The following is a 26,734-nucleotide window of genomic DNA, read 5'->3' as shown; positions in this document are numbered from 1 at the left end:
ATGATGAAATATTTAAAATATATGTCTAAATCTATAAATATAAAACTATATCTATGAGGCTGCTGGAAAGTAAGGAGTGAACAGATCCCTAACATAAAATAAAATCAGAACACCCAATTGGTAAGCAAGTTATCAAGTGGCTATTGCTGTGAGAATTTTTGCTAAACCCTAGAATTCTTTGGCTTCCATTCTGATGGTTTTGTGGGACCAGCTGTGAGATACAGCCTAGGTCTTGGTCAGTGCAGGGAATCTAACAGGAGGCATTCATAAAAACAGTATTCTAGAGAGCTATACTGCCAATGTAAGAATGAATTTGCAATGAACTCTGATATTTCACAAGCAAATTGATTTTGGCATAGTGTGAGAGAATGGAATTCTCTGAGGATTCATAATCCCAAATTGGTCTTTGCTTGAGTTTGGGTTCTGATTCATCCTGCATGTGTGGTCCATAAAACCTCAAGCATGATCCCAGACGACCATGTCCTTAGGTGACTAGTAGAAAAAAATGTATAACTTCTTCGAAAGAACTCAACTTCAGCCCAGGATTCAAGATACCACAAATAAAGTTTCTTATAAAATGAACAGTCAAGAGTGAAGTATCACAAAACAGTAAAAGAAGTAAGGCACTGTGAGTAAAATGACAGACCACAAAATCCTCATATAATAGAATTTTTGACATGGAATATAAAACAGTTATGTTTAAAGAAATTTTCTCACTTTGGGAGGCGGAGGCAGGCAAATCACGAGGTCAGGAGATTGAGGCCATCCTGGCCAACATGGTGAAACCCTGTCTCTACTAAAATACAAAAAATTAGCCAGGGGTGGTGGTGCGCACCTGTAGTCCCAGCTACTTAGGAGGTTGAGGCAGGGGAATCGCTTGAACCCGGGAGGCAGAGGTTGCAGTGAGCCGAGATCACACCACTGAACTCCAGCCTGGCAGCAGAGGGAGACTCCGTCTCAAAAAAAAAAAAAAAAAGAAAAGAAAAGAAAAAAGAAATTTTCTAAGAGTTTGAAAATATGCTTAAGTTTGCTGCTGCCACTGGAGCCACTCCAATTGCTGGCCTCTTCACGCCTGGAACCTTCACTAACCAAATCCAGGCAGCCTTCCAGGAGCCACGGCTTCTTGTGGTTACTGACCCCAGGGCTGACCATCAGCCTCTCATTAAGGCATCTTATGTTAACCTACCTAGCATTGCTCTGTAACAATTCTCCTCTGCACTATGTGGACTTTGCCATCCCGTGCAACAACGAGGGAGCTCACTCAGCGGGTGTGATGCGGTGGACGCCGGCTCGGGAAGTTCTGCGCATGCGTGGCACCATTTCCCGTGAATACCCGCGGGAGGTCATGCCTGATCTCTACTTCTACAGAGATCCTGAAGAGACTGAAAAAGAAGAGCAGGCTGCTGCTGAAAATGCTGTGACCGAGGAGGAATTTCAGGGTGAATGGACTGATTCAGCTCCTGAGTTCACTGCTACTCAGCCTGAGATTGCAGACTGGTCTGAAGGTGTGCAGGTGCCCTCTGTGACTATTCAGCAGTTCCCTACTGAATATTGGAGTGCTCAGCCTGCCACGGAAGACTGGTCTGCAGCTCCCATTGCTCAGGCCACTGAATGGATAGGAGCAACCACTTAATGGTCTTAAGCTGTTCTTGCATGTGTTCTTAAGCAACATGGCAATAAGGTTGATGGGAAATAAACATCAGTTTCTAAAAAAAAAAAAAAAAGAAAAGAAAATATGATCAGGGAACCTGAGACCATAAAAAAAGACCAAGTGTTTGTACAATATAAGATTCTGCAAAGTAATATATAATAATTAAAAATTAAAATGAAATGGATAATACCATTCAACATATTAGATGTAATGAAGATAGTGAACTGGCAGATCAATCCTAAGAAACAAACTAGAATGCAGTCCAGAGAGATGAAAATATAGAAAACATGAAACATAGGTTATTACAGAGGCTAGTGTAAGAAGGTTTAGCATACATCTAATCAGAGTTTCAGGCGGAGATAATAGAGATAATGGAGAAGAGGAATACTCAATGGGGTGACAAGAATTTCCCCAAATTTTTAAAAGATCCAGTCTTAGAAATGGGAAACCTAGTGGATCCCAAACAAGATAAATGAAAAGATTTCTACACGAAGACATATTAAAGAAAAGCTATAGAACACCAAAGTAAAAGAGAAGATCTTAAAAGTGGAAAAAGTGAAAAGAGAGATTGCTTTCAAAGTATGAATAGTTAGCCTGATTATAAACTGCCTGTTTGAGATGTAAATCTTCTACCACCCAGAACTGTCTCCTTAATGACCTGGAGCTGTCTCTTTGACCTCAAAGGAGGTAGTGTGAGTTCCACCGATCCCCAACCCCCACTCCCCCACTCCCATCCCGTCTCCTGTCTTCTTACCTCCCTCTTGTTCTTTTGCCTCCCAGGCTCCTTGGGAGGGTAAGGGAAGAATTTTGTTAGGTGCCTTACCTAATTTGTAAAACTGCCTCCTGTCCTGGAGGTACGAAGTTTGTTTCTTCTCCATATAAGTGCCAATTAATAAACCAGATGGCCTGATTACATTGACCAAGCCCCTTCTTGTTTTTGTAATTTTCCATTTCCCTCACTCTGTTGGACCTGCCACTGGTTTCTCCTTCCCTGTTTCATCAGTCTCTCTTTAAACCACCATCACCTCTACACAGTTGGAGTCGAGCTCAGTTTTATACTTGTTATAAATAAAGTTTCCGTGCTGCAAAAGAAATAGCACTTGAATGTAAAATTTTCTTTTTAATTCTCAGCAAGGCAATGTACTTCTATAGAAGGGTGTGCCCTTACAGATGGAGCAATGGTGAGTGCACCCTTGGACAAGGGAGGGGAAGGGGTTCTTATCCCTGACACATGTGGCCCCTGCTGCTGTGTTGTTCCCCTGTTGGCTAGGGTTAGACCACACAGGCTAAACTAATTCCAGTTGGCTAATTTAAAGAGAATGACGGGGTGAGTAAGGTTTGGCAGGAAAAATGGTTATGACAGAGCAGGTAATTGGAATGAGTCAGGGTGGAGCAGGTAATCGAAAAAGGTTGCTTTCCGAGGAAGTTAAGTTTAAAAGTAGAAGGCAAAGAATTGAACATACTGACATATTGATTATTTGAAGAGAAATTTAGAACTCATAGCTAACATACTGAAGTCTCTCTCTACTACTGCAGTAGTATTACTGAATAGAAGCTGTCTTTATCACCTTTAACTAGTGTCTAGCTTTGTTTTTCTTTAACACCGCTCAATAAATGCGAACTTTATTCTGATATCTCAATACATTTCCCTGGTCCCCGTGAAGGTGTTTTGCCTCCTGGATGCTGACTCTTCTTTACAAGTTTGTGTCTTATATATTTTGGAGGCAATTACTAACCTAAGAGGTCTTTACTGAACACTAAATGACTTAAAATCCAGTTAAGAAAAAGAAAGTCAGATTAATTTTTTGAGGAGAAAATTTTAGTAACTTAACTCTTTTAAAACCAGCTTCAACTCACCGCTAGTCTCAACAGCTGATCATTAGGATGATATTTCAAGAATTAGTTCATCCTAATGAAGAAAACAGCTCAAAGAAAGAAGTCCTACATATTTTTGCCTTTGGGAATGAGAAGAAATTAAGGAAAATATTTCTGCATTTGGTTTGAAACGTCACAATTTTTGTTTGCTGAATGGAAGGAAATTCTACTTCTGGCAGAAGGAAAATGAAAGAGCTGAGATGCAAGAAGGAATAGTGCGACAGAAATTAGATTAGTGGTTGCCAAGGGCTGGGAGGGAAAAATGGAGAAATGGGGTAGACTGCTAAAGGGTACAGTGTTTTTTTGGGGGATGATGAAAACGTAAATGTAAAGTTAATTATGGTGATGATTGCACAATACTGTGAATATATTAAAATGTAGGTACACTTTTAAATAGGTGAGTTGCATGTGAATTATATCTCAATAAAGCTGAGACCAATAAAAAAGGAATAGTGAGCGATGGTATTGATAAATGTGGATAAATCTAAAACAAATATTATCTAAAACAGCAATAAAAATAATGTCCCATATAGGGAGATTTGGAGAATCAGTCTATAATGAAATTTCTGACTAAAAAATGTACCTATTAGTGTGGAGGAGATATTGGAACTGGTGTACTAATTCTACTGTTGTCATTCTCAGAAATTATTCAAGCAACTAGTTTATCTCCTCTTTTGCTAGCCTTGATGAATCTACTATAATCCTTCTCATCCCAGCATGATATTTTATGAGAGGAACCGTTGCTCCATCCAGAGAGAGTAAGACTATTAACAACTGTAAGTTTCAAATTATTTGACACCTCTTTCATTTCTTCTAAGTTCTGTACTTTTACAAAAATTACTTCAGCTCTCTTTTAAAATTTGTGCGTACCTTGTTTTACTGTGCCTCACTTTATTCTGCTTCACAGATACTGCTTTTTTTTTTTAATTAAAGATGTGTTGCAACCCTGCATTGAGCAAGTCTGCCAGCAGCATTTCTCCAAAGGCATGTGCTCATTTCGTGTCTCTGTGCCACATTTGGGTAATTCCCTCAGTATTTTAAACTTTTTCATTATTATATCTGTTGTGGTGATCTGTGATCAGTGATCTTTGATGTTACTACTGTAATTATTTCGGGCACCATAAACTACACCCACATAAGACAGCAGACTTGATCAATAAGTGTGTGTGCTGTCTGCTCCACCAACCAGCTGTTCTTGTCTTTCTTCCTCTCCTCAGGCCTCCCTATTCCCTGAGACACAACAATATTGCAAGCAGACCAGTTAATAGTCCTACAATGGCCTCTAAGTGTTCAAGATAGAGTCACACATCTCTCATTTTATTTTTTATTACTTTTGTTGTAATTTCAACTTTTATTTTAGATTCAGGGGGTACATGTGCAAGTTTGTTACCTGGGTACATTGTACCCTGAGGTCTAGGGTACAAATGGTACCATCACCCAGGTACTGACCATAATACCCAATAGTTAGTTTTTCAATCCTTGCCCCTTCTCTCCCTCCTACCTCTAGTAGTCTGCAGTGTCTATTGTTCCTATGTTTTTGTCCATGGGTGCTCAATGTTTAGCTCCCACTTATAAGTGAGACATGCGGTATTTGGTTTTCTATTCCTGCATTAAGTCAGTTAGGATAATGGCCTCCAGCTGCACCCAAATTGCTGCAAAGAACATGGTTTCATTTTTTATGGCTGCATACTATTCCATAGTGTATATGCACCACATTTTCTTTATCCAGTCCACCACTGATGGGCACCTAGGTTGATTCCATGTCTTTGCTATTGTGAATAGTGCTGCAATAAACATGTGAGTACACATTTCTTTTGGTAGAACAATTTAATTTCTTTTGGATATGTACTCAGTAATGGGATTGCTGGGTCAAATGGTAGTTCTGTTTTATGTTCTGTGATGTCTCTCACTTTAAATAAAAAGCGTTTTAAACATATGTGTAAATATCACATCTGTTCACAGCATCGTTTATTGAATGTGTTTAAGCTTACTGTTGAGACCTACTGTTTATTTAAAAAGGCTCCTTTCAAAAGATTACTGTTCACTGACAGTAATCTTGGGTGACCTAATCACCCAAGAGTCCTGATGGAGATGTACAAGGAGATTAATGTTGCTTTCATGCCTTCTATTACAATATCCATTCTACAGTACATGGATCAAGGAGTAATTTCAACTTTCAAGTCTTATTATTTAAGAAGTACATTGCAGGCCGAGCGTGGTGGCTCACGCCTATAATCCCAGCACTTTGGAAGGCTGGGGCGGGCGGATCACCTAAGGTCGGAAGTTCAAGACCAGCCTGACCAACATGGAGAAACCCTATCTCTACTAAAAAAAAACAAAATTAGCCAGGCATGGTGGCACATGCCTGTAATCCCAGGAATTTGGGAGGCTAAGGCAGGAGAATCGCTTGAACCCAGGAGGTAGGTGGAGGTTGCGGTGAGCTGAGATCGCACCATTGCACTCCAGCCTGGGCAACAAGAGCCAAAACTCCGTCTCAAAAAAGAAAAGAAAAGAAAAGAAATATATTTCATAAGGCTATAGCTCCCATTGTGATTCCTCTCATAGATCTGAGCAAAGCAAATTGAACACCTTCTGGAAAAGATTCACCATTCTAGCTGCTATTAAGAACTTCTGTGATTCATGAAAGGTGTTCAAATTATTGACCTTAACAGATGTTTGGCAGATATGGATATCAACCCTCATGAATGACTTTGGGAACTTCAAGACTTCAGTGGAGGAAGTAACTGCAGACATGGTAGAAATAGCAAGAGAATTAGTGGAATCTGAAGATGTGACTGAATTGCTGCAATCTCATGATCAAACTTGAAAGGATGAGGAGTTGCTTCTTATGGCTGAGCAAAGAAAATGGTTTCTTGAAATGGAATTTACTCCTGGTGAGGATGCTGTGAACATTGTTGAGATGACAACAGTGGGTTTAGAATATTACATAAACTTCATTGATAAAGTAGAGACACATTTTGAGAGGACACACTCCAATTTTGAAATAAATTCTACTGTGGTTAAAATGCTGTCAAACAATATTGCATCCCACTGAAAACTCTTTCATAAAAAGAAGAGTCAATCAATGTGGCAAATCACTGTTGTCTTAATTTAAGAAATTGCCACAGCTACCCCAATTTTGATCAACCACCACCCTGGTTAGCAGCCATCAACATCGAAGCAAGACCCTCCATCAACAAAAAGATTACAACTCACCGAAGGCCCAGCTGATCATTAGCATTTTTTTAGCAATACAATATTTTAAAATTAAGGCACGTACATTGTTTTTTAAAACATAATGCTATTACACACTTAATAGACTACAATATAGTGTAAACATAACTTTTATATGCTTGGGAAACCAAATGATCTGTGTGACTCACTTTACTGCAATTTTCGCTTTATTGAAGTGCTCTGAAACCAAATCCACGACATCTCCAAGGTGTGCCTATACTACTCAAGGATTAGATTTGCACTAATGAATGCATATCCAGTCCTAGAACCAAATAATGACAAATCTTCATAGAAAGGGGATGAATTTACCCAGCACAAACACTGAAGGTCAATACAGCTAGACTGTATTTTGAACTCTGCTAGTTATAGGTGCTAGGTAGACTGGGGCACCACACTTTAATGAGGTCTTGGCTTCCTCATCTATAGAATGGAGAATAAAATATCTTGTGTCTCTTATATTTTTGTTGTGAAAGTCCAATAAAATGTTTAAACTTGTGCTTTAAAAACTGAAAAAGCACTATACAAATGGATAGTATTTTGAAAACTGTGTGTTTGCCGGGCATGGTGGCTCACGCCTGTAATCCCAGCACTTTGGGAGGCCAAGGGGAGGTCAGGAGTTCGAGACCAGCCTGGCCAACATGGTGAAAACCCGTCTCTACTAAAAAAAATACCAAAATTAGCTGGGCTTGGTGGTGCATGCCTGTAGTTCCAGCTACTCATGAGGCTGAGGCAGGAGAATTGCTTGAACCTGGGAGGCAGAGGTTGCAGTGAGCAGATATCGCACCAATGTACTCCAGCCTGGATGACAGAGCAAGACCCCGTCTCAGAAAAAAAAAGAAAAAGAAAAAGAAAACTGTATGTTTATGTTTCTTAAGTGAACAGTGGGTTATCTGTCTCTAAAGTTTTCAGGAGGTTATACTTACACGAATTTGCTAAAATTTTATATCAAACATGTTAAATTTTTGGATCTAACTTGGTAATTTGAATATGATACATTCATATTTCTGCACAGTCTGCTAATGGTTTAATTCTTCACATAAAATATTTAATGTTAAAAATCAGCATTCATCATCAGTCATTATGAAAGAAATACATGGCATAGTGTTATGGAAATTAAAAAGGAGAAAAAAGTCACTGCAGAGAGAGGATAATGAAAACTACAATGAAATGAAGCTTGATGATAAAAATACCATTATACTTTTAATGTATCTATGGCATTAAAAGCCATTTATATACACATTTCTTTGGTCTTCATTAAAAACAAAAACAAAACTTGAGGTAAATAAAATTTAAAAGTTGGCTTTCTGTCTGGTAGTGAATACTACCTTTGATTTTAAAATAGATACCTTCAACTGTTAACAGATATGACAAATAGAACTAATATTACTATAAAACTGATATTTGCTACATGGAACAGAGGGAGGAGCTTAATCCAGTTAACTGGAACTCTTTAACTGCAGGAGCCTATATCACTAGAATGATGTTTGGACCATGTATATTAACTTAATTAACTATAATTGTTACCTCTCCAACTCACACTTTTCTATATAAATGCAAGATTAAAGAAGGAAGGATTCTGCTTCTGAGCTCCCTAGCAGGTCAAATTTACTAAACTAACAATTGTTTAATGCAGTGAAAAGAAATTTGGGGGAAGAGTGGATAAACATTAGTTTATCCCTTCTATAAACATTAGTTACCTATACCAGTGAGATACTGGGATTAAGAGTAATTGGGATTCCAGGCCCAAACAAAATTCAGTTCCCATATTTTTTCTTAAGACATCATTCTACTAAATGAGACCCCTGAGCAGAAGCAGAATTAACTGGCTCCTTTTAAGTTTGGTAATTACAAATGCAAAATGAGTATCCTCCTGCAGACAGAGCCAGAGGACTACTCAAGCTGATGCAATAACGGGAGCTGTGATAAATAATCTATGCCTGTTATGGAAAGCTGAATGGAGGACAGAAATGAAGAACCCATATGAAAATTTGGAATTTGCTCAAAGCTATTCTCACCATAACTCCAGGGAAGATAAGCAGTATTCCACCCTGCAGTTCTGTATAATTTATCAACCTTTTTCCTTTTCATTTCTAACATTCACCCTTCATGGTTAACTGAAGAAACAAAGAGCTAAATAGCTTCCTTAGCCATTTGATAGAGCAATTATGAGCATCCTGACTGATACACTTTCTGCTTAATCTACTAACAAATGGTGTCCATTTTCCTCTTAATCTCTACCCCATCTCCCATTCGACTTGACACGTGCACAACACTGCTTTTTGTGCCCTGTTCCTGTGCCCCTCTTCATTTGTTTCTTTCTCATTACAGTGCTCTTACGTAATTATTATTACAGAAGGAAAACGAGTTCTTTATGACAATTTTCCTCAGCTGCCCTTGGTTAATTTTTTCAAAATGTGATCTCTATGGGCTCCCTGACAACAGAGCAAATTGAAAGCTCATCAGTAGAATCTTTCTTAAGATCGGTATCTTTTCTAAGAAATGTTATGTCTTAGGACAAGAGGATTGTTTCTCCCAGTAATAGGCAGTATGATGTGGTGCAGCCATCTTTAAAGAGGTCAGGACTATTTAAAACTGGGGGCTATTAAGACATTAAAAATTAAAATGTACCTCAGGCATAAATTTCCCACCACAATGCAGTTGTCTTTACTTCCTTCTGCATTAATCTCTCATTATAAGAACATTCATTTTTTCCTAGAATAAGAGAATTTGGGGCCCAGAGGGATTGCTGAACTCATCCCTTCTCAGGCCTTTGTTTCTAGGAAAAAACAGAAGATCAGGGGGTTAAGTGGTTTACACAAAGTCACATAGCAGCAGGGTAACCTAGTTTGAGCTTCCTGTTTTGTTTTTCCCTTGAAGGGAACATGAAATGGAGAAATAATTTCCTGCCCCACAGAAGGAGCAGATGTCCTCAAGTCTCTGCCTTTTCTTACCTGTTTGATAGAGATACTGTCCTCTTCACCTCACAGGATTTCCCTCAGTAATCTATTGTGATGAAACCCTTTCTTCTGGGGGCATGTGTGTGTGTGTATCTCACAGCACTACCTTGTGTGGCACATACTCTGCTATGGTTATTGTTCTTAGGACTCTAAGGCTTTGTGGAGAGCTACCACGTTCTTGAAGGCAGACACCATTTTCAGTGTTGGTTACCCAAGGAAAAGACGAGCCTCAAGGACGACCACAGAACTGAGAGGGAGAAATAAAAGGGAGTGAAAATCCCAGCTCTGTAAGAAGATGTGAAGGGTTGTGTTCCTGTGTGATGGAGTTAAGACAGTGTCTGTCTCTTAAAGTTCAGTATCTGAAGAAGAAAGGAGGTACCACTGTGAAGAGCCATAGTCCCCACACAAGTAATCTATCCTCAAAGACCAAAAAGTCTGGCTGCAGAATCAGGCACATAATTTATGGGGCCCAGGGCAAAATAAAAATGCAGAGAATTCTAAGACAGCGACAATAGAGCATTAAACCAAGCACAGGGCCTTTCTGAGCACACAGCCCCACGTAAACGCACAGCTACCAGCTCATGTCTCACCACAAGTAGTTACTTTAGTAATGTCTGGTCTAAACATACCCAGTGAAGACTTCACTTTGCATGTGGTTTTTGAAGAAAAGAGTCTTGTTGAAGGAAGAGTTGTGCTTTTTGGAGAGTAGTTTGTGGCTACTTGGGCAGGAGGCAAGGACTCTTCAAGGTGGATTTTAGGGCCAGGAGGTGAGATTCTGAAGTGCAGCGGATCCTGCCTTTGTAGCGATTCTTCCTTCACTGCCAATCTAAGAGAATCAGAGGCTACAGCCACATCACCCTGAATGCGCCTGAACTCTCATGAGAGGATCTAAGCTCTATGTTTAACAGATGATGCGGATCTTATATGTATATCAAGAGTTGAACACTAGAAAACTACAAAAGTAATGAGGCAGAATCTGTGTCTGTTGTCCATATTATTTCCTGCATCTGCAGTTCCTGATGCATGGCAGGTCCTCAGTAACTATTTGTTGATGACTGGTAACAGGTGGTTATCTTAGTGTTGAAATTTGGTGGAGTCCTTCTGGCCCTAAAAGGAAGATCAGAGATTTAGAGAAGAAAGGTGCCTCTGGCAATAAAAAGAAAAAAAGTTTTGAAGCATGTTAAGAATGCTAATTTTAATACTGCAATTTAAGAAAATGTTAGCATGCCTAAGAAGGGGAGACTTTTAGTATCATTTTGCATATAAGCTTATTATATATTATTTTATAGGTTTATTAAATATTTATAAAGTTTCCTAAGATTTTTAGCTGTACTTTTGCTATCAATGTTACTTAAGAATAATATCTCAGTACTCTTTTCGTTTTAGGTTATTTTATTTAGAGAACATAGTCAGTGGCAGGGTATAGGGAGAAGCAAAAAAGCTGGGAAGAAAGACTTAGAAAAGTCAAAAAGAGAAAGAAAAGGATCACAGGGGTCTCAGAATTGAAAACAGGCCTCTGTAAAAAGGCAGAATAGAGAGGGAGGCTAAAAACAGAAGATGAGGGGTAGGCCCCCTTCTTTTTTAGAAGAGTTATTGGCAACATACTGCACACTTGATGGGAACTTGGGAAAGGCCTGATTATTGAATGTGCAAAAGAAAAATAAATGGGGCATAATTAGTGATGTCCTGGTAAATACTTAACAACTAGCTCTTGGGGAGTGGGGTGTGGTTTGTAGTATTTGTCAATTTCTATTGCATAAATTCTTCATGGCCTTTTTTTTTTTGCTCTTTTTTTAATTATTATACTTTAAGTTCTAGGTCACATGTGCATAACGTGCAGGTTTGTTACATAGGTATACATGTGCCATGTTGGTTTGCTGTACCCATCAAATCATCATTTACACTAGGTATTTCTCCTAATGCTATCCCTCCCCCAGCCTCCTACCCCCAAACAGGCCATGGTGTGTGATGTTCCCCTCCCTGTGTCCATGTGTTCTCATTGTTCAGCTCCCACTTATGAGTGAGAACATGCGGTGTTGGTTCTCTGACCTTGTGCTATTTTGCTGAGAATGATGGATTCCACCCTCATCCATCTCTCTGCAAAGGACATGAACTCATCCTTTTTATGGCTGCATGATATTCCATGGTGTATATGTGCCACTTTTTCTTTATCCAGTCTACCATTGATGGACATTTGGGTTGGTTCCAAGTCTTTGCTATTGTGAATAGTGCCACAATAAACATATGTGTGCATGGCTCTTTATAGTAGCATGATTTATAATCCTTTGGGTATATACCCAGTAATGGGATTGCTGGGTCAAGTGGTATTTCTGGTTCTAGATCCTTGAGGAATTGCCACACTGTCTTCCACAATGATTGAACTAGTAGGTAGTTTACACTCCCATCAACAGTGTAAAAGTGTTCCTATTTCTCCACATCCTCTCCAGCATCTGTTGTTTCCTGCCTTTTTAATGATCGCCATTCTAACTGGTGTGAGATGGTATCTCATTGTAGTTTTGATCTGCATTTCTCTGATAACCAGTGATGACGAGCATTTTTTCATATGTCTGTTGGCTGCATAAATGTCTTCTTTTGAGAAGTGTCTGTTCTTATCCTTTGCCCACTTTTTGATGGGGTTTGTTTTTTTCTTGTGAATGTGTTTAAGCTCTTTGTAGATTCTGGATATTAGCCGTTTGTCAGGTGGATACATTGCAAAAATTTTCTCCCATTCTGTAGGTTGCCTGTTCACTCTGATGATAGTTTCTTTTGCTGTGCAGAAGCTCTTTAGTTTAATTAGATCCCATTTGTCTATTTTGGCTTTGGTGGCCATTGCTTTTGGTGTTTTAGTCATGAAGTCTTTGCCCATGCCTATGTCCTGAATGGTATCGCCTAGGTTTTCTTCTAGGGTTTTTATGGTTTTAGGTCTTACAATAAGTCTTTTCCATCTTGAGTTAATTTTTGTATAAGGTGTAAGGAAGGGATCCAGTTTCAGCTTTCTACATATGGCTAGCCAGTTTTCCCAGCACCATTTATTAAATAAGGAATCCTTTCCCCATTTCTTGTTTTTGTCAGGTTTGTCAAAGATCAGATGGTTGTAGATGTGTGGCATTATTTCTGAGGCCTCTGTTCTGTCCCATTGGTCTATATATCTGTTTTGGTACCAGTACCATGCTGTTTTGGTTACTGTAGCCTTGTAGTATAGTTTGAAGTCAGGCAGCGTGATGCCTCCAGCTTTGTTCTTTTTGCTTAGGATTGTCTTGGCTATGTGGGCTCTTTTTTGATTCCATATGAAATTTACAGTAGTTTTTTTCCAATTCTGTGAAGAAAGTTATTGGTAGCTTGATGGGGATAGCACTGAATCTATAAATCACCTTGGGCAGTATGGCCATTTTCACGATATTGATTCTTCCTATCCTCTTCATGGCCAATTTTAAGCTACCACCATGAATTGACTGAATATGAAATCTTAAGCTACCAAGATGAATTCACTAAATGTGAAATTGGGAAGAGATGTGTAGTATTCCATTGTACAGATGCAACAGACTTAACCTCAAGACCATAGGTAATAGTAAAATGGAGTAAGATAATTAGGAAATAAGGAGTTTTTCAAATTTATTACCTTTGCTTTACTCTACTTAATTATAAATTTATATAATACAATTTTAATTTTTAATAATGACTTTAACAACTGGCTTCCAAAGTAGGAGCCAGCTGTAGCATGCCAGTGGATGGGCATCACCACATGACTCTACCATCTGTGTTAAAATATAAAAAGAGCTTTTTCAATTTTTTTTTTCTTTCTTAAAAGGAATTCAGAAAAGTGTATGAGGAGACAAGAATCTCTTAAGAGTATTTTTTGTCACCACTTTGCCAAAGGTTTTTTTCTTTTTAAACACTCAACTCAGAATTTGCAGATTGAAAGTTTAGACAAAGATGAGAGATACATCTTTTTCTACCAATAAAATCTGCAATATTTTCAGCTTTGCATGAACTTCATAGGGAGGCAGAGTGGTGCAATGTAGAAAGCCCTAATATAATTATTTACAACCCCAGACTAAGCAGTCTGCAGCTTTGAGCAGGACATTTCACCTCCCTAGGCTTTGAGACAAGAATGCCCACTGCCCCACTTCTATCACAGGGCAACATGTGCATGTCAGGTGGGGGCTTCTCACATGCTGCAATGTTGAGATCTGCCACTTATTTTTAATGGTTCCATAAAAGTAATATGTGCTTCTATAGAGACAAATAAAACAAATATGGAAAAACATTAACAATCAGCGAATCTAGGCAAAGGATATATGAGTATTCGATTTTTTTCAAAATAAAAAGATAGAAACACTAAAGTCATTTATACACAGACAGCATTTGGCAAACCTGCTAAGTAGTATACAAAGACAAAGTACCACATCTAAAGAGATGTGGTATCCAGATGCCATAATCTTAGGATAGTCAAAGTTCATTTCATCTAACTGATTGAATTATTCAGCAATCATTTACTGAGTATCAATGACCCTAAATGCTGGAGATAACTCAATAATGCACAACACATACTTCTTAATCTCACAGAATTTAATGTAGTTAGAGTTACACACAAATAAACAGAGAATTACAATATGGCTTAAATAGAATTAAGTAGAGACTGCTGTGGTGCCATATAGGAAGAACATCTAAACCAGCCCTAAATGATCAAGAAAGACTTTCCCAAGGAATCTGAGAGCAGTGAGAACCTAAGATCTAAAACATAGGAATTAAACCAAGGCCTGGGAGGGAGAGCAAGCATCCATCTACGTGTCTAGCATTTATACTATAAGCCAAGCAACACATGCCCATTTACTCCTCACAGCAGTGCTGTGGGGCAGGTTATTGGTATCCCATTTGACAGATCTGATTACAGACTTGGTATTTTCAAGCAAGGGAAATCTTAAGAAGAAAGGCCCTGAAGCAAAACTGATCATGGCTTATTCAAAAGAACTGCAAGTTGTTCTGTGTATTGCAGTTTGCATATGTAGGCCTTGGGTAGGGTATGTGGAGTTACAGTGGAAAGGAGTACAGGGTCTTGTGGATAATAGGCATCTATTAAAGGGTATTAAGCCTGGAGATGATGTGATCCAGTTTCCACTGGGAAAGATTACTCTGGCATCAGTAGGGAGAATAAATTGAGGAAGGAACAAAACTAATAGTGGGGATACCACCTGGGAGCTCATAAGTTAGTCTAAAACACACAGTGGCCTGAACTAAGGCAGTCACAAGTGATGGCAGAAACTGGGTGGATTCTGACAGGACTGGAGGTAGCATCTTACTGGCTGATTGGACATGGGGACAGGGTGGAGCCAAGAATGACAACTTCCAAGGTTTTTGGCAAGGGTGAGGGGCAGATGGGGAGCCAGTCACTGAGATATTGAGAGGCAGTGTTGTGGGAAGGGGTGGGTAGGGATTGGGTGATAATGAGAGGGCAAAGACAGATTTAATCAAGATCTTACAAAGACCAGCACATAAGAATCTGAGTCTGTGACAAGTGGCAGCTAATCCCAATGGTATTTTGATCATCTACTATAAATCTTTCTAAGAGATAGTTCTTGAGTTATGGAGAGAAAAAGTGGGGTATCCATGATTCTGGTCAGTTTTAATTATAAGTGGCTTGGTGAATATGAAAAAAACCCTTGGTAAATTATGGAAACATGACCTTTCATTATAATTGCTACTATCATTACTTATTAGTATTTTCTCCCTGCTTTCATCAGGTTCAAACCACCTAAATGGTCCCTTTTACCTGCCCTTTTATGGAAACATTTCTCCTCTTTTTTTTTTTTTTTCATCTCCCCATCCTCTAACTCAAGGTTCAGTGGCAGGTAATTTGGGTGGAGTTAAGTGGTTTTTGTCTGCTCTCAATCAATGAACGAATATTTATTAAGAATCTCCCAGAAGCTAAGCTGTGAGGGCACAAAGGCATGAGAGTGATAGAATGGACTTTGGGGACTGGGTCGGGGTAAGGTTGGGAGGGGATGAGGGATAAAAGACTGCATATTGGGTACAGTGTACACTGCTTGCGTACCAAGTGCACTAAAATCTCAGAAATCTCCACTAGAGGATTTATCCATATAACAAGATAACATATAACCACCTGTACCCCCAAAACTATTGAAATTATTTTTTAAAAACTCTCCCATGTAAGTGTAAACCACCACTAGAGGACTTATCCATATAACAAGATAACATATAACCATCTGTATCCCCAAAACAATTGAAATTATTTTTTAAAAAGTCTCCCATGGGCCGGGTGTGGTGACTCACGCCTGTAATCCTAGAACTTTGGGAGGCCAAGGCTGGTGGATTGCCTGAACTCAGGAGTTTGAGACCAGCCTGGGCAACATGGTGAAACACCATCTCTACTAAAATACAAAAAAAAAATTAACTGGGCATGGCGGTGTGTGCCTGTAGTCCAGCTACTCGAGAGGCTGAGGCAGGAGAATTGCTTGAACCCGGAAGGCAGAGGTTGCAGCGAGCCAAGATCGTGCCACTGCAATCCAGCCTGGCGACAGAGCGAGACTCCGTCTCAAAAAAAAAAAAAAAAAAAAATTCTCCCATGTAAGTATCCAAAGCTCTATGACTGGTGCTGCAATCATGGGGTCATGTTCTTTGGGGTCAGATAATTCTGAATTTAAATCCTCCTTCTGCATTTATTTACCAACCACAGCCCTTGGGTAAAAAATCTACTTATGTCTGCTCAGTTTCCATTAAAAAAAAAAAGATAATATTACAGAGGTTTGTTGTATCATATGAACATATGAACATATGAACACAGAGCCTAGTGTTCAATAAATGTAGTTCCTGTCCACCTCATAAGGCTGTTGCCCAGGATAAATGAGCTAATACTCAAAAGAGGGTTATGATTTCCTTGGAATAATTCTGCTATATAAGTTCAGTCGTTTTTAATGAATTTTGCTGCTATTGTTCCTCTTATTGTTTTTACTGGTACCAAGGGCTTGTGGTAACCATGTCTACAAGCCTTTGAGCAGCACTTGAACACATCTTTATTATTATTATTTTTGAATCTCCTTATTTCTTTGTTTCATCTGGGGACTCATTTCTTTCTTTGCTTAGTGCTGCTATAGAGAAACAGCCAGATGTCTCTACAATTTGTCGTTTCTGGCCACATACTCTGTTATTTAGATACTCTGCTTTGTTCAGCCAAGATACCGTGTCTGTTAAAGCTTTAAGAGTCTGAAGAAACTAATTGTGCTGTTATTGGCAGGCAAAATGAAAGACACTGAGAGATTAAAACTGTGGATGGGGGGAGCTTAAATGTCACTGTAGGTCTTCAAGCATTTTTTATATAAAAAGAAATAATAAACTTTCTAAAAAAAAACTTTAGTTTTATATAAATTTCCCATTACCAGTATAACTGCTCTGATGAAAGATTATTAAAATATCTGTTAAAGCTGGCATAGCTAAAGGGATGGGATTTGGGGGTTGGAGAAGCAGTTAACACTCTACCCGATTTAACAGCATTGTCCGTAAGGATCAAATGGTGTGCCTTCTCTTTGTCTTATATTCCTAGACCAAAAGCAACAATCTCCAGCTTTTAAGACACCATCCTGGCAGATTCAAATGCTTTATAATGTTATAGAAAACCAAAGAGGCATTTTCAAAGTTAAATTAACCGGATATCTTTGGTTTTCCCTGGGGAAGTTTTATTCAGAGCTGCTATGATATTGTATCTTAGCACATAGTCTGAGACTGGTTACAAAACAGAATGAGATTTCACTTTCTGTCTGCTAGAGAGCCTCATTAGAAACTTCTGGCTTGGCATCCTCATTTCTCAAAAATTCCAAGAGATTTCAGCTCAAGAAGAGAAATATTGACTGTGTGTGTATGCATGCGCCATCTTGCTTTGAACAAAAAAATAGCATTAGCATTCTAATTCTTAATAAGAATTTCCATTAAAAGTTATTTATACTTTAAAATACTATTTTTCATAATTCCGTATACTGTTTATGAAAACTGCATTTTTTAATTCTTTTTCTCTGTAAAATAATTAATCTACCTCCCGAAGCTATTAATTATGTTTCATTTTTGCACAATGCACAAATGTTCCCAAAGTTCTATCCTACTGTTTTACTCAGTGCTCACATCATAAGAACCCTGTGAGATAGACATTATTATCATAATTTTATGGATGAGAAAAACAAAACTCAGAAAATTTCCATTACAAAACCAAACCAAAATGTGACCCAAGGTCTTTTGACTCCCAATCCAGTTGTCTTTCCACTTCACCATGAGTGGTTCACTCATGTTAGTTGAGATCTTCAATAAAAATATTAGTTTTTCTCAGTGTCACAGTAGATAGGAAGGTACCTTGGAATGCGTACCGGGCCTGCCATAACCAGACGGGGCAGTGTAAGGAGCCAGGCCAGCCTTGCAAACAAAATGCTGGAGAAATCAGGTCTCCTGAAGAGAGAAAAACCTCAGTAGGCACATTTAAGGCATCTCAGGCACAGAGAAGCTAGGCTGGCAGTAGTATCTAATCCCAGGGAGCAAAACCTCTATAGTAATAACTGGGTTTATCATAAAGCGAGAGTTAGGTTTAATAGCCTAGTATATACCAGATGACCTGTGCATTGCAATTGGATGCTGACAGTTTTTTCGTCATAGTTTCCTAAATCTTGCACTACTTCTTCAGCAGGCTTCACATTCTGTCATGTTTTTCTTCTTTTTCCTGTCTGCTAAACTTAAACAGTTTAACCATGAGGTCATTTTATAACTTCACTCACCCCTACATGCAAAAGCCTTGCAAGTTTTATTCCCAAGCCCAGCTATTATCCTTTGGTCCTGTAATTATTTATACAATGGACATGACCCATTCCTACCCACCAGTGGAATGCATATTGGGATTTTTCCCCTAAACTCCACATCCACCGAGATCAAGATCACTTCCTAGGAAGACACCAGTAGGATCTGGAAGTCTCGAAGGAGGAGACATAGGAAAGATATCCCAGGCCAGCAAGGAAGCTGATGATTGCACAGAGATAAGAGAAAAGGCATATGGAGAACAGTGCAGGGGCTGACCTGACAGGCTCAGAGGCTGGAGTGAGTGACTTAAGAGGGTGAGAAGCTGACTGTCCACACTGGGACCTCAGAAGGAAGGGCATAGACTTTCAAGAGGAAGTGATTGAACTTGATCCAGTGAACAACCAAAAATAGATGAGGGACAAAATAACTTATATTAGGAAGATTAATAGTACTATACAGGGCCATAGAAAATGAACAAGGGGAGCATACCCAAATGTTAAGGAACAAGGGAGGCACAAAATGCCTGCACAGCACAAAGCAAGAAGAAATTAAGGAGAAATCATTTGTACTGACCTTGGTGACTGAAGATACAAAAGGTGGTAGAAAACGATAAGCTTTATAACTTTATTCTAATTTTTTTGTTGTTTTTTTTATTTTTGTTTTTGTTTTTGAGACGGAGCCTTGCTCTGTCACCCAGGCTGGAGTGCAGTGGCACAATCTTGGTTCACTACAACCTCCGCCTCCCGGGTTCAAGTGATTCTCCCACCTCAGCCTCCAGAGTAGCTGGGATTACAGGCACCTGCCATCATGCCCGGCTAATTTTTGTATTTTTGTAGAGATGGGGTTTCACCATGTTGTCCAAGCTGGTGATCCATCTGCCTTGGACTCCCAAACTGCTGAGATTACAGGCGTGAGCCACCATGCCCAGCCTGTTCTAGTTTTATAAATACAAGATTAATGCATACCCATTGAATCAGAATATCTGAGGGTGGTAGCAAGTGTGTGTGTTTTAAAGGCTCTGCAAACTTGCCATAGAGAATCACTGGCCTGTGCAGCAAAGCAGATTCTGGGCTTAGTACCTTTCTGTAAGCTTTCTAGTGCTTCTGAGTCAGTCAGTCGGTTTAGCCCATTGCCCCATTGCTAGGAGATGATGATAATACACACCAAAGAAGCAGCTAACACAAATCAAATGCTTATGCACAATGAAATGTCTAACTGTGGTTTTGACTGAAAGAACAAGAGTTAGTGGAGGTGGGTGATTGGATCCTGGACTGGAAGCTGGAGAAGCCTTCCCAGAGGAACTGTGATATAGCCCAGACCTTAAAGAATGGGTGGACTGGAGCTAAAAACAGACAGGTGGACCAAGGAGCTGGTGAAAGTGGACGAAGCATTGTGCAGTACAGTTTTAAGCAGGAGGGTGTGGGCACTATGTTTAAATAGCAGAGGAGGTCGATAACTTCCCTAGCCTTCCTCTGAATTGGTCCCCTGTATGAGGCTGGAGACCCTTGCAAAGGCCATGGGGCAAGAACATTTTTCCTTTATTTTTCCCATCCATTCCCTTTGCAGCTCAGCCACAGACAAGCTTTATTCCCTCACACTACTCATCTGTGAATGCACACTAAATTCAGTCATGCTAAGAAACAAATGACACATAATCCTTTGCATTAGTCTGGCAAGCTAATAAACCTTTATATAGTAATATCACCTGTAGAAAACTCATTTCATTCTTACTACAGCACTATGGAATGGGGAAGCCAGAAGTGGTCCTCATATTGTAGATAAGAAAAGGAAACCCCAGAGAATCCAACCTCAAAACCATAGAGCTACTAAGGGGAGTATTTAATTGGGGGACTTGAACACAGTTTTCTTTCTGCCACCCTGTTCTGCAACTTGCTGCAGTATTTGCATTTCAACAAGGATCAGAGCCCAAAGCACGCAGGTCTAACTGAGGACTTCAGACATCAACCTGTAGACAGGAGATTGGTTCTTTCAGTGAAGCTCTGAATCACATTACATAGGTAACTGTCTTTGTCTTCACATTATCTGTCAGTTGTGTGATCACAGGCAAGTTGGAGAAAATTGTGAGCTTCACTTGACCTATGAAATGGAAATAACTCCATCTACTTTATAGGGTTTTTGAGAATTTCCTGAAATACCACCTGGACAATGTCCTTGCTACACAGTAAGCCTCAAGAAACCTCACTCTCTTTCTCTTCCCCATTTTATTTACACACAAGGCAAGCCCTGCTATGTTAAAACCACAGGCTCATCCAGCCTACCTGTTTTTGCTCTCTCTTTGCTTATGCTCTTAATCCTTTCTCTCTTTCCCTCTACCTTTGTCCAACCACACCTGCCTGCCTTCACTTCTTAAACAAGCCGAGCCTTTTCCCTCCTCAGTCCCTCATGTGAGCTGGTTCCTCTGCTCGCTCATGCCTCCTTGCTCCTCCTCCTCCAGGTGTCACCCCAAGTGTTACTTCTTCAGGAAGGACTGAAGTAGGTTCCTCCTATTACTCTTTCTCACTAGATCCTGTAACTTTCCTTTGTCATATTGAATACAATTTGTAAGTATGCATTAATCCTGTATGTAGGCTTAATGCCTGTCTTCTCCACTAGACTGTGGACTCCCACAGGGCAAGAACATGTCTATTTAATTGGCCACTATTCTCCATAGTACCCAATACAGAATCTAGCACATAAGACATGTTCCATAAGTATTTGTCAACTGTGTGTTGGATGACTGCTGGTCTTATCTCTCCCTCTTAGGATGCCCTCCTACCGTCTCCTCAGCAATTCACATAGTACATTCCACACACACAAAAAAATTTTACCATGCCCACATTCTCTGACCTTTTCCTTAATTTTCTTTTCCCAACACTTATTCATACATTATCATAATTGGGTAATGTTCTCTGGTTATTTCATGATTCCCTAATCACATTATCAGTTTTCTAAGGAATAAAACTCTTTGGGGATCTGTTTTGAAATCTCTGATAAACCTAGTATAATAGTTGAAAATGCTTTGGGAATTCAGTGATTTCTTGAATAATGAATGAATAGATCAATCACTCAATCCTAGTATATCCCTTTTGCACAAAGAAAAACTTCACATAGCAATACAGAGATATCATTGCAGCAAAACAATTTCTAACCATGACTCATTGCTATCTATATAGCTTCCTTCTTGGGTTACTATTTTGAGTTTCAATAAGAGGCAAACAATCTTATCTTGAAAGAGGGATTGGATTTATTTTTAATAAGAAAGGCTGAATTGGGAACTTGCATTTTTCCCCAAAATTTAATAACAGCACTAGTAAAGCCCTACGCTCCTCAGCTGGCCTTATTTCAGGTATATGAGAACAGAGCTTCCAGGTAAGCTTCTTTCATGATCTAAGAGTGAGACCAATATCACCAAACCTGTCTAAATTCATTGACAGCCAGGGGAGGTCACATAGCAAAAGCATCTAGTCCGAACATGTTTCAGAACCCAGGACTGAGCAGAGGACATGGAGGGAAACATCAGGTTCCCCAAGGCCATTGTCCTCAAACATGTGACATCCTGATAGTCACCACTGATAACTTCAGTAAGTATCACTTCGATTTCACCCCCTTCTTCTACTCACAACTAAAACAAAACAAAAACATATGTAATTAAAATATGTCATTGCTATGCTCAAAATGATAACTTATGAACTGGGATTTCAAATTCACCTTGTTATTCTGAAGCAGAGCCTTCAGTTTATGGTTGCCCTGCTGTTAAGCCTCAAGTTGCTCTTTTTTTTTTTTTTTTTCTGAGACAGGTCTTCTCTGTCACCCAGGCCAGAGTGGAGTGGCATGATCGCAGCTCACTGCAACCTCCACCTCTTGGGTTCAAGTGATTCTCCTGACTCAGCCTCCCTAGCAGCTGGGATTACAGGGGCCCACCACTGTGCCCAGCTAATTTTTGCATTTTTAGTAGAGACGAGGTTTCACCATCTTGGCCAGGGTGGTCTTGAACTCCTGACCTCAGGTGATCCACCCGCCTTGGCCTCCCAAAGTAATGGGATTACAGGCTTGAGCCACCGTACCCGGCCAAGTTGCTCATTCTATCCATATTCTTTGAATCATTTTATATATACACACACACACACAAACACACTATATGTTACATGCATTTTAATTTACTTTGACAATTATCTCACAGGTTCTGTCTAGTTAGTACTAGTTAGTATCCTTCCCCATTGAGTTAGTATTTGATCTTATAACATGGTCCAGGAAAAGAAAGGTAAGTTTTGCTAAGTACCTGTTACATCATGACACTTGTGAGAGTTGGTATGGGATCTGCTCTTTGTGCAGTGTCACTTATCACCTGTCTTCCACCTCTGCTTAGCTCTGTGACAACCAACAGAGCCTCTAAGAGATGGCTGCTGATGAGTCCTTCTATCGCAGGCTGCAGCAGTCCTGAAGGTTGATGGAGGGCCATGCTATTCAAACAGCAGGCGTGGCTGAGACAGAAGCTCCTGGTGCTGGGAAGCCTTGCCGTTGGGAGTCTCCTGTATCTAGTCGCCAGAGTTGGGAGCTTGGATAGGTGGGTGCTTAAAACACATGCTTATACCCCTGTGACATTAAGGCTTGATTTAAACTTCCTTAGGACATAATTTTAAGTCTATCCACTTGTTTTTCTCCTTCGAAATTCCCAGGAAACATGCTTTTCTGCAGTATTGATTTTGATTTACTGAGCCTTTAAAAGAGAGAGATCCAAGTTCCTCAAACCAAGATGTTTTGTCAAGATCCATTTGTATTCCGTGTGCATTGACACTTGTTTTCAGGAAAGGGATAAAGCTGTGTACAGTAAAAATGTCATTTAATAGAGCTCAGTTGGTCCGTGTGCATCTGGTGTTGACCTCTAGCTGTAGCAAAACAGTGATGATGTATCTATGTATCTTTCTTTTGAAATTTATGAGTGGACACTTAATGTGCTATCAGGAGCATTAAAATTATGTATGAGCCTCTAAAGGAGCTCATCGAGTTTGCAATCCATTGCTCTGGAAAGATGGCTGCAGGCGTGGGGAGTTTTAACTATGTTAATTAGCTCTGGTTTTCAGGGGCTGAACGCACCAGACAAGGAGGCTGTTGCTCAGAATAATTGCCCAGAAAGCAATGGGAAATCCATGGAGAGAAAATTACAGTGCTAGGGTTTAGCTCTAAATAGGTGTACAGTTGAGAGGTATTGGACTTGCAGAAGTCCCAGCAACATCAGCTGGCTTCACAGTAAATGTTTCTGGTGTGTTCTATGTCTAGTCTAATGGGCAAAGACAGAGAAGTTAATTTCTGAAATGTGAAGCTTCCCTTTTTGCCCTTAAAAAAAAATTTTTTTTTTGAGATGGAGTTTCGCTCATTGCCCAAGCTAGAGTGCAATGGCGTAATCTCGGCTCACTGCAACCTCCTCCTCCCATGTTCAAACTATTCTCCTGCCTCAGCCTCCCAAGTAGCTGTGATTGCAGGCATGTGCCACACACCCAGCTAATTTTGTATTGTTAGTAGAGACAGGGTTTCACTGTGTTGGCCAGGCTGGTTTCGAACTCCTGACCTTAGGAGATCCACCTGCCTTGGCCTCCCAAAGTGCTGGGATTACAGGTGTGAACCACTGTGCCTGGCTGGCCCTTTAAAATTAATTCTTGCACTGGAAAGACTGAAGTGTGTTCTCCATGAGTTCAGTTCTCACAGTCAGTGAAAACACATACAAAATTAAAAATGAAAATCTTTTCCTTTCAGTTTTCTTTTCCTTCCAAAATTTAAGCTAATCTGTAGACCTTATCACTTAGATTATTTAGAAATAACATAGCAGTGGTCCTTGTTTTCCTTCAGTTGGTGTCATTTTGACTGGTAAAGTGAACTCCTTTGATGCTTCTCAATTCAAAATTCCTGAGTAATTGTCTCACTCACTAGTTGTTACCTACCCTGAAAGTGTAATCAGAGCTTCTCACCGACTTCCAGTAGTTTCCTAAAGTAGCACTTGATGGTTATTGAGAAGCCTTGAGGTGGTGCCATTGGCCTACCTCTGTAATGGAACTCTTATATCCAGCCCTCCCCAACTGACCTTTAATTAGCTTCCAATCATTTACCTTTTACTTAGTAATTGATCTAATGATCACTAATGCATTATTATTTAGTTGATGATTCTTTTCATTTTTTTAACTCTGTCTCTAGTCTCTAAGGGGATAGCTTTTATTTGGAATTGAATTGTTTGGTGGGCTTTCTAAAAGCCTCTCACTTCAGACTTTGAGATTATGTCTGAAGGTAACAGGCTTATTTAGGCCCACTCTCCAGTAACTGAAGACCCTGCTTTCTGGGAGGGAGACAGAGGTTACTTCTACCATCCCTTCCAATCCTAAACCTGTATGATTTTTCAGTCTGGGACCCATACTCAGAATCCATGCTTTCAGAAGTGGGAAAGAATATGATATTTTCTCATATTTTCACATTCTATCTTGAGTTAGGGAGTCCAAAAAGCGACTATTCTGCAGGATGTGATCTCCCAGGGTAGAAGATAGAAAGAGGAAGGAAGTAAAGAAGGAAAATGACCCTTTCTACAAGTGGGGAAATTCCATTTGACCTCAAACAAAGCAGAGACTGTCTATATCAGCCACTCTCAGCCAGGGTACTATGAAAGAATTAAATCCTACAAAAAAGAATTTGAGTGACTGTTTCCTCAATTCTTCCAAGGATGGTACTAGCATCATTCTAGGTGCTTAGGACAGAAATCCATCAATGGATGCCTTATGGAATTAGAGCTTAATTCTCAACCAGAACCCAAGAAGAACTGAAAGATGAACTTGTATTATTCCAATCAGTGTCACAATTAAAAGCATCTTTGCCTATGTATCTATTGATAATTTTACATCCTCCATTTAAAGCCCTAGTACATTAATCTCATTAACAAATTTATAAAAACAAAATTCATGTTTCTCTAAACTATTAACCGGGTTAAATCCTGTTTTTTAAAAGCTGTCTAGGCCAGGCACAGTAGCTCACGCCTGTAATCCCAGCACTTTGGGAGGCTGAGGCAGGCGAATCACGAGATCAGGAGTTCAAGACCAGCCAGGCCAACATGGTGAAACCTTGTCTCTACTAAAAATACAAAAATTAGCTGGGTATGGTGGCGCACGCCTGTAATCCCAGCTACTCGGGAGGCTGAGGCAGGAGAATCTCTTGAACCCAGGAGACAGAGATTGCAGTGAGCCAAGATCGTGCCACTGCACTGCAGCCTAGGCAACAGACCAAGACTCCGTCTCAAAAAAAAAAGAAAAAAAAGTTGTCTATATTTTCACACTTTCCACAATGAGCATGAGTTGTTTTAAAAATCATAAAAAAGAAACATCGTGAAAAGTAGTATACATTGATATTTTTCCTTAAGCATTATGATAGATAGCTGTTTAAACAGAACAAAGACCAAGACCATGCTCCTCAATTCTGCAGAACAGGCTGAGTGTATTAGTCCGTTTTCACAGTGCTATAAAGACATACCTGAGACTGAGTAATTTATAAAGAAAAAAGGTTTAATTGACACACAGTTCTGCATGGCTGGGGAAGCCTCAGAAAACTTACAATCATGGCAGAAGGCAAAGAAGAAGCAAGGCACGTCTTACTTGGTGGCAGGAGAGAGAGGGAGCTTGCAGGGGGCGGTGCCACACAGTTTTAAACCATCAAATCTCATGAGAACTCACTATCATGAAAACAAGGGGTAAATACACCCCCATAATCCAGTCACCTCCCACCAAGCCCCTCCTCCGACATGTGGGGATTACAATTCGGGATGAGATTTGGGTGGGGGCACAGAGCCAAACCATATCACTGGGCATGACCTTGAGGTTGTTTCTCATCTCAGAAAACAAGAAAGATGCAATACAGTCTCTTGGGAAAAGCAAGCAACAGCCTCATTGCCACAGAGGGGGAGACACAGATTCCAAATTATTAGAATAACTGGAAGCTTTCAAGTGTAAGAATTGGTTTAACAGCCTTTTTGACTGATATTATTTAATTTTACCAAGAAGGCTAAAATGCCCTCACAGATCAACTTAGGGGAATTATAATGAACTTCAGTTCAATTCAGACTATACCTAAAAGGAAACTCAATTTGCTAACCATATATGTTAGCCATGACAAATTAAACAGTCACCATCGTCTACTATCATTGTGACTGTTACCACATCTTTCTCCCTGAGAAAAGCAGAGATGGTTGTTCACTATT

At 39.7% G+C, this 26,734-nt stretch overlaps 1 protein-coding gene, 1 long non-coding RNA gene and 1 pseudogene across 13 annotated transcripts in view; 2 read left to right on the top strand and 1 right to left on the bottom strand.

Annotated features, from left to right (window-relative positions):
* The window catches only part of HDAC2-AS2 (HDAC2 and HS3ST5 antisense RNA 2), a 371,029-nt gene that overhangs the window by 254,920 nt on the left and 89,375 nt on the right, over nucleotides 1-26,734 (bottom strand). The gene's annotated exons all lie outside the window — the stretch shown is intronic.
* Nucleotides 1-26,734, top strand: part of HS3ST5 (heparan sulfate-glucosamine 3-sulfotransferase 5) — a 287,428-nt gene that overhangs the window by 257,214 nt on the left and 3,480 nt on the right. For 11 of the 12 annotated variants that reach the window (NM_001387040.1, NM_001387046.1, NM_001387041.1 and 8 more), the window contains one exon: nucleotides 22,933-23,071. In NM_001387040.1, the coding sequence (NP_001373969.1) occupies nucleotides 22,965-23,071 (107 nt within the window). In that variant the 5' untranslated portion in view covers nucleotides 22,933-22,964. Of the gene's footprint in view, nucleotides 1-3,096; nucleotides 4,303-22,932; nucleotides 23,072-26,734 lie in introns of those variants that run through there. The other variant, XM_011535588.3, reaches the window with a different exon arrangement.
* RPSAP43 (ribosomal protein SA pseudogene 43) lies at nucleotides 1,017-1,712 on the top strand (annotated as a pseudogene).

The sequence above is a fragment of the Homo sapiens genome, chromosome 6 (assembly GCF_000001405.40).
Source record: "Homo sapiens chromosome 6, GRCh38.p14 Primary Assembly".
Taxonomy (NCBI): Eukaryota; Metazoa; Chordata; class Mammalia; order Primates; family Hominidae; genus Homo; species Homo sapiens.
Note: the sequence above shows the minus strand (reverse complement) of the source record. Positions and strands in the feature narration are given on the sequence as shown.